At 39.5% G+C, this 14,553-nt stretch overlaps 1 annotated feature.

The window, feature by feature from the left end:
* Positions 2,322-2,491: an enhancer, noted in NCBI's record as "experimental_69363 CRE fragment used in MPRA reporter constructs". NCBI's record gives its function as "activates a minimal promoter by MPRAs in K562 erythroleukemia cells, with activity observed for both the introgressed and non-introgressed 3:30312369 variant alleles {active_cell/tissue: K562}" and the evidence as "EXISTENCE:reporter gene assay evidence [ECO:0000049][PMID:34662402]".

The raw sequence follows: 14,553 nt of genomic DNA, 5'->3' as shown, positions 1-14,553 counted from the left end.
GCACATGTGCGCCATAAATACGTACAAATGAATGGAACAAAAACAAAGCATACTCTTTGAACTTCAAAAAAGAAAGGTCATTCTTCCATTTTAAAGATGATTAAACTCCAGTGTAGAAAGTTTAGATGACTTACTGATAAATTGCTGAGCACTGATTAGACTCCAGCTCTTATAATTCTTCTACACCTTGTACCAGATTATTTTCCTATACACTGCATTTAAATAAAATAAACACAACCAAGTTAAAACTCAAGAAGACATTTTTCTCCTATAGTAAATTGGAACAAATTAGGAAAATAAGAAGAGAGAGAATTACCATCCATAAGTTCATCACCCTAAGCTAACTACAGTTAAAAATGTGGCACACATTATGACAGAAATGTTTCAGTACTTATTTATAGGCAGTATACTTTTATAAAAATCAAATAAGCATGCAGTTAATTAATTAATATAAGCTATACCATAAAATACATACCAATAATTCACTCTTCTCATTATATCTTTATCATAGATAATCCAGTTAATTGTAAAAACCTACTAAATTATTAATAGTTCAATAAGCAATGATATTTAATATCTACATGCCACGGGGTTTCATATGTGAGCTATTAAATGTATCATCACAATACTCATATTTTTACCAAAAAATGAAACATAAACATCACCTGTAAGAAATACAATATTTTCATGATCATTGACATTTAGGTTTTTCTCTACATTCTTCATGCTGATAGGGTTGTGACATCTTTATACTTTACAAAAATCTAGTTATTTTGTAAAACATAAGCAATAATAATTTCAAAAATTAAAACAGGCCACTTGCCATCTCCTCTCTTCCTCCTCTCATTTAGCATTTTCTCAGGGCTATTGATTGACAAACTGGTTTGACTCATAGTAAATAATAAAAACCAATTATTATGGCTGCAGGGCAATTCAAGAAAAGTGGCAAAAATGCAACCCCACTGTATAGGAATATGTAAAATGTGTACTTATGTTTTAAATGCCATCAATATATGGTATGTGTTTTTATAAGAAGTTTCCTAAAGAAAAAAATAAGGTTTTCTCTGAAGTTGTAAGATGACTGGTAAGCAGCACACACACTTACATAAATATATGTCAAATTTCAGTTGAAGGTCACTTAAGCCTTTAGTACATAGATACAAGTGGGTCAGTCCCCCTTCAATTCTCTGGGTATGGAGGTACTGCATCCTCACTGCCATCTCTGGGTGGAGCTTATAGTTTCAGAGCCACTGCAGCTTCCCAGGTCTGTAAACCTCAGGTGCTATCTCTATCCTTCCCGACATCCATCTTGGCTTGAATCCCAGTTCATTTATTTTCTTTCCATTTCCAGCAAAAAAAAAAAAAAAAAAAAAAAACATGTCAAACTAATAATGAGAATCATGGAATTTCCTGAACTGAGGAGAACATCGTTTAGGACACAAAAGTAAGAATTTACTTTTTAGAAACGAAAACACCTTCTCAACAAACAAGTAGGTATTACCCTTTCACAGTAGAATTTTACTGTCCACACACAGCCACCACCTAGCTTCATTGGTTTGACTCCTCTTCTGTTCCTCTTAGCCTTGCTTCTTAATCCTTCTCTTCTGCATTGTCCAGGGGTTCAAACTGTATCTTCTATTATGTAGAGCAACTCCATCCCATCCTACCTTGTAGTTTTGTTACTTGGCCACACTGATACCCAGCAAGGAGTGTCCTGTTTCTCTTTGGTTTATTAAAGCATTTTCTCAGATGAAGATATTTATCTCCCAAGAGATTTCTATTGTACACTGCTTAAAAAAATTCTCTCTCTGCATAGGTTATTTTCCTTCTTTATTCAAAGATGCAGACTTTTTCCTATATTTTAGCATTTCTGAAATCCTGATGACTGTGTGTATATATAATAATAGTGAATTCTTTTGATGGTGAAGGGATTCTGGGTTTGAGCAGTTGAAAGGTAGTGATGATGACTCAAATAACTTTTAAAAAAAAAAAAAGAAAAAAGTTTGCTTTTGTCTTCTCTGCATTAAATGGCCAACGTGTTTGTAACTGAGCCAGATTGTTTTCCTCTGTCCTAAGAGGGTAGTTATTTCTTATTTTAGAGGGTTGTTAATCCCAGTTTTGTCATCTGTTGGGTCTTCAATTCTGATGAATCTTATATCGTATATGGCCATTGCATCTGCACATACATGCTCAGATACTGTGACTTAGTGAAGATACGAGACCACATAGACTACAGGTTCAAAGTACCTGCTGCCTAATAATGTAGGTTTTGACACTCACCTCAACTTGGCAGTTTCAAAGAAGAAAAGTCATTCTGTGAATTAATTGCATGGCAGCAAAGCTTCTGTAGAAGAATCAGAAAACTACTTTTGAAAATGTCAAATAAGGCCAGGTGTGGTGTTTCATGCCTGTAATCCTACCACTTTGGGAGGCCGAGGCAGGTGGATCACGAGGTCAGGAGTTTGAGACCAGCCAGACCAACATGGTGAAACCCTGTCTCTACTACAAATACAAAAATTAGCCGGGCATGGTGGCGTGTGCCTGTAATCCCAGCTACTCAGGAGGCTGAGGCAGGAGAATTGCTTGAACCCGGGAGGTGGAGGTTGCAGTGAGCCAAGATAGCACCATTGCACTCCAGCCTGGAGTGAGACTCTGTCTCAAAAAAAAAAAGAAAAAAGAAAAAGAAAAGAAAATGTCAAAACAGAATTTGCAACCTAAGATTTCTAGAGTTACTGCAAAGAGATCTTGAATCGTTATTGCCAGAAGTGCCTACCAGGCAATAATACTAACTGTAACACAGAAAACAAGTAATTATATGACCATTTGGATTAAGGAAAATGGATATGCATTCTGTAAGAAATGTTTGTAAATGATAAGAAGGAAATGTACTATATTCCTTATGGACCCATTGCAGCAGACGCTGCCATTACTCCATCTATTTCCCTTGGACCTGTCAGTGCCCTCATGCTGACATCCATCAGCCTGAGTCTGCATCTTTGTGCATGAGGACTTATTTTCTCAGAGTCACGGAAGTTTTCTCTTCCTAGAAGCATGAGTCACAGGCCAGAGATCCAGGTAATTAATGATCCTCAGGAGCAGTTCTCAACCATTCGCTCTCTGGAATATATGCACGAATACCCAAGTTCCCTCACCCCTTGAATGGGATAATTCCAAAGTATTTGTTTTCCTCCGCTCTCCAAAAGTTTCTCCATGGAGTTAATTTCCCTTCGTTCTTGTGCAAGGTGGCTCAATAATCACCCTTTACGGACAACTTTTCCTTTCCTCTTTCACTTCCTCATTCACTTGCTCTCACTTTCTCATTCACTTGCAGTTAATAGATATGTCTCTAGTCTGCTTTTGGGAACCGAACCGTGGCACCCACCATCAGACTTAGACATTTTTGGTGTTTGTACATGCAGTACTCTTTTTGAAACACATGAATGTTAACTTTAAGATTCTTTGTTGATGACCTTGGCTGCCAAAAGCGAGTTGTCATTAGTCTTTGTAGTATCCATGTGCAATACCCAACAGACATGTTATGATGAAGTCAAGTAAAAATTAGCTGATGTCATTTTCTCTTTTTATTCCTGCATTATTTTTATGTGGCTTTTGGGTTGGTCTATGAACATTGTCAAGAAACCTCACGGTTTTAAAAATACTCAGTTTTAGTTATTTATTTCAATGTCTGTGAATTTACAACCTTGGCAAGTGCTTTATGTTTATTTTTAATGGCAGATATCTATTTTAATGTGGACATTTTAAAATGCTGACATATCTACATTGTGTAGAATATGATCATTAACTTGTAACCAAGGTGTGATCTCATATTATTACCTCTCCCTTTGGTTGAAAAAAAAAAACCTAAGTTTTTATTATTTCCCTCCAAGAATAAGTCAGACAATTGGTTAAAAATTTTAAAAGGTAATAAAATAATAGTAATTTTTTAAAACTAAGAAGCTGATATTTCTACAGTGCTCTTATAATCAATAGTTTCTTAAAATTGAGGACATGCATGCATACATTTTACTAGCAGTTTGTGCATATTATAAGGTTTCCTTTATAAGAGTATAAAGAAAAAAACTCATAATCCCAATGCTCAAATACAAATACTATTAACATTTTTAATAGGTTTCTAAACATCTTTTTTGTGTTTATACTCATATTTTTTGGCATTAATAAGGTCATGTAATATATGTTGTTTTATAAACTACTATATTCACCTGATAATGCTTCACGAATGTTTTTCTGTATTACCTCCTCTTACTCAAAATGGTACATCTTCTTTTAGAGTAGATGCTATGCAGAGGATGAATATATGATCTGATTGAACGTACTTTCTGTTTCGAAGTGGCATCTTCTGCCAACAGCATCTGAAATATTCATTGTTGTATTTATTATTTGTAGTTTCTAGCTTTTTGGAGAAGGAGAACATCCAAGGATGTATATGCAAATATTTTGCCCCCGCAACAGAGTAATTAACTTTCTAGTGTATCTATTTACCTTAATGTGCTATCCAAACTTGCTACAATCCTATCAGCAGGAACTGAAGAGAGGTAAAACAAACTGGTTTTGAATTTTGACTCTTGGCTCACCAGGACAGGCTCAGGCAGATCCCCAATAGTGAAGGCCCTAGAACAGTTAGAGAGCATGAAAATCTAACAAACCAACAAAAACAAAAGTGGGACCATTATTCCTCTAACTTATTATGTTAGAATTATGTAAACCTCGGCTAGTTTCGTAAGCTCTTTGGTCATTTGTTTCATTCACTGGTACCAAGAGGAGGCTGGATTTTCTCTGTGAACATTTTGCTTGCCAAGAAAATGAGTTGACCTGTCTTTGCTTCCAGTACATTGTCATGGACATACGTAGTTTCTCTTTGCCTAGTTCTTTCTCCTGATAACATAACCCATCTCCCGCTTTTGGAAAACCACACCTTTCCTATTGTCTACCATGCAGCTTGTGTGGGGGTAACCCTACCTCTGGCTCCAGAGCTGAGCATGTTAACAAGCCTGGCCAATGAAAATACTAAATCCCTTTTATCTTAGTGATTGGTTCGGGAGTTGACATGTAACCCAAGTCAGCCAATGAGAACTCTGCTTGGGAAAAAGTATCTCTTCATTCAGTCTGCAAATCTGGCAGAAGGTAAGTCTGGAGCTGCTGATGGCCATCCTTGCCATTACTTGAGGAGGGTCTATGGAGAATAAGGTAATAAATAAACACACAGGAAAGCAGGGCCTACATAGATTGAGATCCTTTCATCTGACTTATGTCTGAAAGTTTTTCAAGAGAAAGAAGCCTTTGGGCTGTAACGGCAACAGTGGTCCATACAGAGTGTGGCAGTTATACAAGGAGGTAGCCAGATCTCAAGGAGACAGGAACCTGGCCATGCACTTTCCACATTCAGCAGTGATTCCCAGACTTCAGACGTGCCATGAATAATCTCTGGTTTAAAGTAAATCTGATCATATTGTTTAGGTTCAAAGAGAGATCCTAGACCAGCAGCATCAGCATCATCTGGGAACTTACCTGAAATGCAGATTCCAAGGCCATACTCCAGACCTACTAAATCAGAAATGCAGCAATCTGTGTTTTTAATAAACCCTCCAGGTGATTATGATGCACATTCAAAACCGGTGGAAATGAAGAGCAGGGAAAAGTGCCTTCCCTATGAGTTACCTGATGAAACTTGAATTTATTGCTTACAGATGTTTTAAGTCAAAGGTAATTCAGCCAGCAGTGTGTTAACAGGTTGCCCACTCCATAAACAGAGAAAGTAGAATTTATTTCTTCATGTAAGAAACCCATTTAAGTGCTGCTTTTTCCCCCTTCTTTGTTGAATTCCACACAAACTACACAAAACACACGTCAACCTCAACTCTTTTCCAGTAAAATAGAGGAAAGCACCATAGGGCTAAAATTAAGCCACAGGCTCCTCCCTTCTCCTAAACTCTTCTGATTTCTAACTGCCAGAAAGCTCTCATTCTATTAGCCCATGCTCTGAAGGCCTGTGGATGCGTTTGGGATAGTGTTTCCTTCATGTTTATGCCACACTTTGAGGAATACCAGCTTTACTTTGGATTTCTGCAGGGCTGTTTTCAAAGCAATTTCTCAAAGCATTCGTAATTTAATACCTGTAAGATGTTGCTCAGTCAGGGAGGCAAGGTTAGCAGAAAACCCTTCTTTGAATCCTGCCAAGGCTTGAACATGCTCATTTGTGCACAGTGCTGCTGCTTTTTAGACCCAAGAGCCTGAACGTCTTCCTCCACTAGAGGAGCATCTTATGCTGTAGGAGCAGGGCTGAGGAAGAGAGTCTTTATTCCTCTGGTAAGAGTCAACCAACACTACAGTCCCAGTAAAAATACAGTGCCTATGACCACTGATTTTCCAACACATTGGCTCATGCACATTTTGTTTCACAGACTTATTGTGAAAGCAATCAGATACTCCAAGTGTTTGGAGAAAACTCAATAGGCCATAAAGAACTCCCCTCACTTTCTTCCTTGACAGATGCTTTTGTGGTCTCTTGAACACTTCTAGAAATGGGCCACACATTACTTTGTAGCCATCTGGAAAAGTACAAAGCATCAAAGCATTAATGTGTCAGATACACCCACATTCCTATGCCATGGCGTTAGATTGCCAAAGCAGGACTGCAGAGAAGTTACATGAGAACCAACTTTGAGATTCTTAGCAGACCACCCATTTTATCTTACCGATGGAGTCAGAGATGCCAAGAATGAGGTTGAAATGGTAGAGAATATTTCTTTGGAGAGGATTCATGTGGATATGCTGTGAATTCCACCTCCCTCTATTAAGTAGTATAAAATATAAGTATCATTATGAATAGGGACTCTTTGCAGAGTAAATTATATTATATATCTAGACCATGGTTTTTTAACTTTAGCACTAATGACATTTGGGCTGGATAATTTTTTTGTGGTGAATACTGTAGGATGCTTAGTAGCATCCCTGGTCTCTACTCACTGGACAACAGCACTCCCACCCTCAGTTGCGACAACCAAAATTTTCTCTGGATTTTGCCAATGTTCTCTGGTGGACAAAATCACCCCTGGTAGAGAAGCTGTCTTAGTCCATTTGTGTGGCTATAAACAAATACCTAAGCCTGAGTAATTTACAAAGAAAAGAGGTTTATTTGGCTCATGGTTCTACAGGCTGCACAAGAAGTATGACAGCAGCATCTGCTTCTGGCAAGGGCCTCAGGCTGCTTCCACTCATGGTGAAAGGTGAAGGGAGCTGGCTGTACAGAAATCACTTGGTTAGAGAGAAAGCTAGAGAGACAGAGGCACTACTACGCTCATTCTAACAACAAGCTTTCATGGAACTACAGAGGGAAATGTCACTCGCCCCCCATCCCCCACAGGGAGGACATTAATCTATTCATGAGGGGTCCATCCCTATGACCCAAATGCCTCCCATTAGGCCCTACCTCTAACTTGAGATCAAATTTCAACATGAGATTTGTGGGAACAAACACCTAAACTATAGCAGAAACATGGCTCTAGACTTTATTGTCTCTGAAAATTATTTTGTGCATATATGTGGAGAGAGAGAGAGAAAGAGAGAGAGAGAGAGAGAGAGTGTGTGTGTGTGTGTTTGAAATGGTGCCTACCTGCTTACTTGAGCAAGAAAATGAGGAAGAATACCTTTACTTCTCATGGTTAAGAGGCCTCAGAAGAAGCTAGTTGCTGGGATGCAGCATCAAGAATTACTTTGCTTTCCTTGAAAAAGGCTTTATCTGTCTTTTATTTATGAAGCTTAGTTTTACTGGATACAAAATTCTTGGCTGATAATTCTTTTGTTTAAGGAGGTTTAAGATAGGACCCCAATTCTTGCTAGTGTGTAGGATTTCTGCTGAGAAATCATCTGTTAATCTAATAGGTTTTCCTTTATAGGTTATCTGGTGCTTTTGCGTCACAGCTCTTAGGATTCTTTCCTTCATCTTGACTTTAGATAACCTGATGACTATGTGCCTAGGTGAAGACTTTTTGTGATGAATTTCCTGGGTGTTCTTTGAGCTTCTTGTATTTGGATGTCTAGATCTCTAGCCAGGCCAGGGAAGTATTTTTTTATTATTATTATTCCCTCAAATAAGTTTTCCAAACTTTTAGATTTCTCTTCTTCCTCAGGACACCAGTTATTCTTAGGTTTGGTCATTTAACATAATCCCAAACTTCTTGGAGGCTTTGTTCATTTTTTTTCTTTGTCTGTGTTGGATTGGGTTCATTCAAAAGCCTTGTCTTTGAGCTCTGAAGTTCTTTCTTCTACTTGTTTGATTCTATTATTGTAACTTTCCAGTGTATTTTGCATTTCTATAAGTGTGTCTTTCATTTCCAAAAACTGGGATTTTTTTTTATTATATCTATTTCTCTAGAGATTTCTTCATCCATATCCTGTTTTTTTTTTAATTCCTTTAAGTGGGTTTTCACCTTTCTCTTGTGCTTCCTTGAGTAGCTTAATAATTGAGCTTCTGAATTATTTTTCTTCTTGGAAAAGAAATTCAGAGATTTCTTCTTGGTTTGGATCCATTGCAGGTGAGTTAGTGTGGTCTTCAGGGTGTTAAAGAAACTTTCTTTGTCATATTACCAGAATTGTTTTTCTGGTTCCTTCTCATTTGGGTAGACTGTGTCAGAGGAAAGATCTGGGGCTCAAGAGCCACTGTTCAGATTCTTTTGTCCCATGAGGGAATCCTTTGATGTGGTGCTCTCCCCCTTTCTCTAGGGATAGTGCTTCTCGAGAGCTGGGCTGCAGTGATTGTTATTTCTCTTCTGGGTTTAGTCACACAGCACAGCTACTGGGCTCTGGGCTGATGCTGGGGAATGTCTGCAGAGTCCTGTGATGTGATCCATCTTCAGGTCTCTCCACTGTGGATACCAACACCTGCTCCAGTAGAGGCAGCAGGGGAGTAAAGCAGACTCTGAGGGTCCTTGGTTGTAGTTTTCTTTAGTGTGCTGGTTTTCTCAAATGCTGGTTGTGCTGGCAGCGAAGTTGTCACATGGACAGACTCAGGACCGCTGGTTAGCCACGAAGTTACAGGCAGTGGAATTAGCAGTTGTTTTCTCTTTTCTTGGAGTGGGGTTGTTCACTTATGAGTTGCTGTAATGGCTTGAGTTGGTTGGCCTCCAGCCAGCAGGTGGCACTATCAAGAGAGCATCAGCAGTGGTAGTATAGTGGGGGATACAAGCTTGCCCTAATGTTGCCTGGATAAGCATTCGGGTTTCTCAAGTGATGAGTGGGGCCATAGAGCTCCCAAAAGATTATGTATTTTGTCTATTGTCTTTGGCTACCAGGGTGGGTAGAGAAAGAACATCAGGTGGGGGCAGGGATGGGCATGTCTGAGCTCAGACTCTCCTTGGGCGGGGCTTGTTGTGGCTGCTGTGGGGGTTCGGAATGTGGTTCTCAGGTCAATGGAGTTATGTTCCAAGGGGCGGTTATGGCTACCTCTGCTGCTTTGTACAAGTCATCAGGGATGTGGGGGAAAGTTGTCAGTGACAGGCTCACCCAGCTCCCACACAGCCAGAAAGGTCAGTCTCACTTCCACCATGCCTCACCAATAGCACTGAGTTTATATCCAGGCAGCTAGTGCACAAGGCTGAGATCTTGTCCCAGGCTACAAGCCTCCCTACTGAGAAAACAAGCAGGGCTTCCAGGCTTCACCCCTGTCTACTTGCTGCAGCTTCTATGCTTATATCTGCACTTCCTGTTTGCCATCCTCATCTCACCAATGATTCTGCCCAGGAAAGTTTGTGCTAGGTTAAAATTATTACAAAGTTCAGCGGGGAGTTTCCTTCTCCCTATAGTCCTTCTTCAATTCCACTAGCAGCCCTCCCCAAGGAACCCTGTGAGATAAGGTCAGAAATGGCTTCCCTGGGGACCAAGAGTGCCTATAGGGCTCTTCCTGCTGCTGCTTCTACTTTTATATTTCCCTTGGTTCTCTAAATTTGTTCCAGCTCTAGGTAAGATTAAATCTTTCTCCCATGATCTGGATTTTCAGGTTCCCCAAGAAGGATTTGTGTTCGGAGATCCCCCTCTCACACTTTTGGGCATTCAGTTTTCTGGCTGACTCATGGAGTTTACAGCAGCAAGCCACTTCTTTCAAAGGGTCTGTGAATTCTTTCAGTTTTCCTGGTATGTTCCTGCAGTAGTTCTTGGAGCAAAAGTTCATGATGTGAGTTCTGTCCATTTGAGTGGGAGCTTCACTGTTCTGTCTGTTTGAGTGGGACACACTGTTCTGTCCATTTGGGAGCTGCAAGGTAGTCCTGCCTCCTATACATCATTTTTTTCTGATCTTCAAAAGTCTTTATATTAAATTATCTGTTACTATTATTGGTATGGTTTCTATTTTGCTGGCTGCACTTTGATGGGAACAAGGGCAACAGGGATTTGTCTACATCATCTTTCTGATGGCACCAGCATAGTGGCAGCAGTTCTGCCTCAAGTTACTGGCATGATCAGCAGCAGAGCCAGCAGAGGCTTACAGAGAAGGAGTTTGTGATGCCAGGAAGCACCTCCTAAGTGGACAAATTGGAGGCCCCCATGAGAAAAGGGCCCCTTTATCCCAGATCTAAGGTTAACTATGGGTTAGTTTCTGTTTTCTTCATAACAAAGTAGAGTCTAATCAGGTTTAAAAAAACTATCAGTAGATCACATGTAATGAGGATATTATCTTATGAACCTTTTGTTTCAGTTTTATATAAATGCATGTATGTGTATACTGGTATCTGATATGAAATGCTTTTTCTATTGTAAGACTGGAAAAAGAAAAGGGAGAAAGAGCTGGTGGCCAACACTTGGGATTCCTGTGCAATCATGAGATTTCTGTGATTATTTTTAAATTCCAGGAAAACTGACCTGAGCAAATGCCTACATATTCAGTCTGTTAAACTAAGTTTAGCTTAAAGCTGCCTTCTAACATATTTTAGGTTCAGTCTAAAGGTTTCTCCATCCATAGTAAACTGTAACCTAACTGGATGTGCAATCAGGCTGTAACCTTCTTCTGTACCAATCACCTAATTTTGGTCAATCATAGGCGACCAACTATTCAAATTGTGTTAAAGGCACACACGGAGCTGTAACCAATCCAGCTGTTTCTGTACCTCCCTTTTCTTTTCTGTAAGTCACTTTCCTTTTTCAGGCCATAAATCTGATCCCACCATGCAGCAGTGCCAGAACCGCTCTGACCCTATTCTAGTTCTGGGATTGGGCTTCCCAATTTGTGAATCATTCTTTGCTTATTTAAATCCTATTAAATTTAATTTGTCTAAAGTTTTTCTTTTAACAAGCCTTAGGAGCCTTTCCTTCACTAAAAGTGCTTTCAATAGGAAATGCCTGGACTCCCTCAAACCTGACAAATGGAGGACCCAGGAAAGCTGGAGGACTCATGGAGAGACCTTGTGCCTTGGACCCTGACTACCGTTTCTCATGGAAGCTGCTGTGCCAGCCCTGGCTTTGCTGCTCTCTTCCCATTATTGCTCTCATTTAAACCATGAAGCACACATGCCTCCCCTACTCATTAACTTAAGTGGAGGGCAGAATCTACCACCTTAAATGAAGTAAAATTATATCAGCTTTTTAACTTATAAACATGGCATTTGGAATATTCTGGGCCCTGTGCTAAGCATTATTGGACTTTATCCAATCCAGCATTGCCTGGGCTTCTGAATTAGCTTTCTCTTTCTTTCTAACACTCTTTAATTCCCTACACATACCACTTCCCTTTTATGATAATCCCAGGTAACAGGTATCTGAGGTTAGAATGCTGGTGCCTCCTCAAAGATACCAAAACCAGCTAGGTAGCACCACTTTCACCTCAGAAGCATGGGTCTTATCTAAAATGTCTGCTCACAGATTGACCGTGTTTGGGCAGAAAACTGAGATGGAAGTGTCGGTCCTGACCAAGAATAAGAGGGCCTAAACCACCCTAAAAACTGAGAGTGAGCTATTCTTCTGGAGTTTGTTTTTTAAAAATACTCCTAGTACAAAAGGACAAGTATCAAATTTACCTACTCAGAAACTAGGTTTCTGCCATTGTGTAAATTTTCACCACCAAGCTCCTCCTCCAGGCCACCTACTCTAATATACCAGAACCTAGTCCTGTAATTATATGGTGAATTTCTCGGAATGCTTCGGCAACGTCTTGACATTCAATCATGTATACTTCATTTTGGGACTGAGCTGGACTACACTGCAGAGAGTTTTAGAGACTCTTTCATGCTAGGAATAATAAAGGAAACAGTTATTTTAAGTGCAATTAATGAAGTGCCAGAGGATTCCATTCACAAAAGAATGCAGGGGGAAAGATATTATTTGGTTGTGAATTCACTTTGTCCTTCCAGGCTCTACAAATCTTCAGAAACTTTAAAATTCCAATTCTGTGATAAAACTTGGATGAGTTGCATAGAGATTATTTGATCTAATGTTGCAGGCAAGAAAAATAAGAACCAAGACATTTAAATGACTAATGGTGAGCTCATTTAACTGCTTATCAGCAAAGCTATTGGATATAACATTGATTTCCAATAGATAATTTATTTTAGGAACAGCAAGTATAATCCGTTGTTAAGCAGCACATCATATGGCAGGAGAATTGCAATTTCACAAGCATTTACTTGACATTGAACATTTAATTTAAAAGTTTGCATCAACTAGAAAGCCCCTAATGGAATATCTGGCTCAAGCTCCAGATGGCTTACTGCTCCTCCCTCACAATCTACCATGCCAATAAAAATGAACATTGTTACCCAAGCAGGTAGAGACAAACAGCATCATTTTCTTGCACAGATAAGTGTATGTGTAACTGTGGACACAGTTGTTTGTGTACCAAAATGAGATTTTCAAGAAGTGAAGATGAAATTATAGATCTGCAAACCTATATAATGTCCTAAGAAATGGCATGGTCTCAGCTACCCTGTTGGTATTTAACACTCAATATTTCAAATGCCAATATTTTGATATATTATTTAGTTGAGGAAAGGAGATACCACTATACCTGTGAGTCTTAATGAGAGTACCTTGCAAACTTTAATGTCAACTGGGGATCTTGTTTAAATCGCAGATTCAGGACCACGCGGTGGCTCACGCCTGTAATCTGAGCTCTTTAGGAGCTTGAGGTAGGAGGATTGCTTGAAGCCAGTTCAAGATCACCCTGCACAACATGGCAAGACCTCGTCTCTACAAAATAAGAAAAAAAAAAATTAGCCCAAGTGTGGTGGTGCCACCTGTAGTTCCAGCTACTCAAGAGGCTAAGGTGGGAGGATTGTTTGAGCCCAGGAATTTGAGGTAAGAGTGAGCTATTATCATGCCACTGCATTCCAACATGGGTGACACAGCAGGAGCCTATCTCTAAAAAAAGAAGGAAAAAAAAATTCAGATTCAGTAGGTCTTGGGTGGGGTCTGAGATGCTGCCTAGGTGGTGCTGTGCCATCGCTGTTGCTGCTGCTACTGCTTCTTGGACCACACTTTAAGTAGCAAGATCTAGTAGATTTGTATATGAAGATGAGTAGTGGAAAGACCCTGGAGGCAGAACTACAGGCACCTAAGCTTTTTTTCTACCACTTACTAGGTGAATAATCTTAGGACAATCCTTGAACCACTTTGAGGATAGTTTTCTCTTGAGAAAAATTAAATAATAATAATGATACTTGTTCCAAGCAAATGAGAAAATACATGGGCAAGTGGTTTTGAAAAGCCAGTCTATGTAAATAATTGCTAGCTATGGATATCATTCTGCTACGGACTCAATCTGAACTGTTAAGGGAAAATGCTTTATGGTTACTTGCTAGGGAAAAGTTTCTCAATAAAACTCAGAGAGTGAATTTTTCTCTATCTGAACTTGATAATCAAATTTCTAATAGATTTTTGGAAAGAAAGTGTCTTGAAGGACACTTTGAAGAGAAAGTGGCTTGGTGGCTAATGTGCCGACAAACACAAGAGCATATTTAACCTTCATGCACTGTGTTTGGTCTTCTTGAGGTTTAATTTAACTGATGACATTCATAGGCTACAGTGTAAAAAGTGAACCTGACAGTAATAACTGTGCAAGCTATTTGCTTTATTATAGACTTAGGACTTTGGAGTGCTTTCCAGACAATGGTGGGTCTTGAAAAGATGGTACTGCAAGCTGTGCAAACATACAGTGTGTGCAGGCAAACTTCTGCTTGGTTAATGGATATCTCACAGCTGAGCAAACCGAAGGGCTGTTTGTTAGGCCTCCTTTCCCTTCCATGGTAAACCAAACAGGAAAGTGAATTCCATTGGGATAACCCACAGGGTGCCTCTCTTAGGTAAACAGCAGATTTGTAAAAAGCTCTCTGTGCACACTGTCCCTGTTTACATCACAAATGACCTTCCTGGAGCATTTTAAGCTTCCAGCGCAGGTAATGGAAGGGATAGATTTATCTGTTACACTATAGCCCTCTTTATCTCCCTTGCCTCCTCCCTTCTATCCACTAAATAAAAGCAGTAAGACCACTCCAATTTATAATCTGTCCTATATTAATGGAATGGGAATGATTTCACAATAACAGCTGTAAAGAA

The sequence above is a fragment of the Homo sapiens genome, chromosome 3 (genome assembly GCF_000001405.40).
Source record: "Homo sapiens chromosome 3, GRCh38.p14 Primary Assembly".
Lineage (NCBI taxonomy): Eukaryota > Metazoa > Chordata > Mammalia > Primates > Hominidae > Homo > Homo sapiens.
This window is presented reverse-complemented; position numbering and strand designations above follow the sequence as displayed.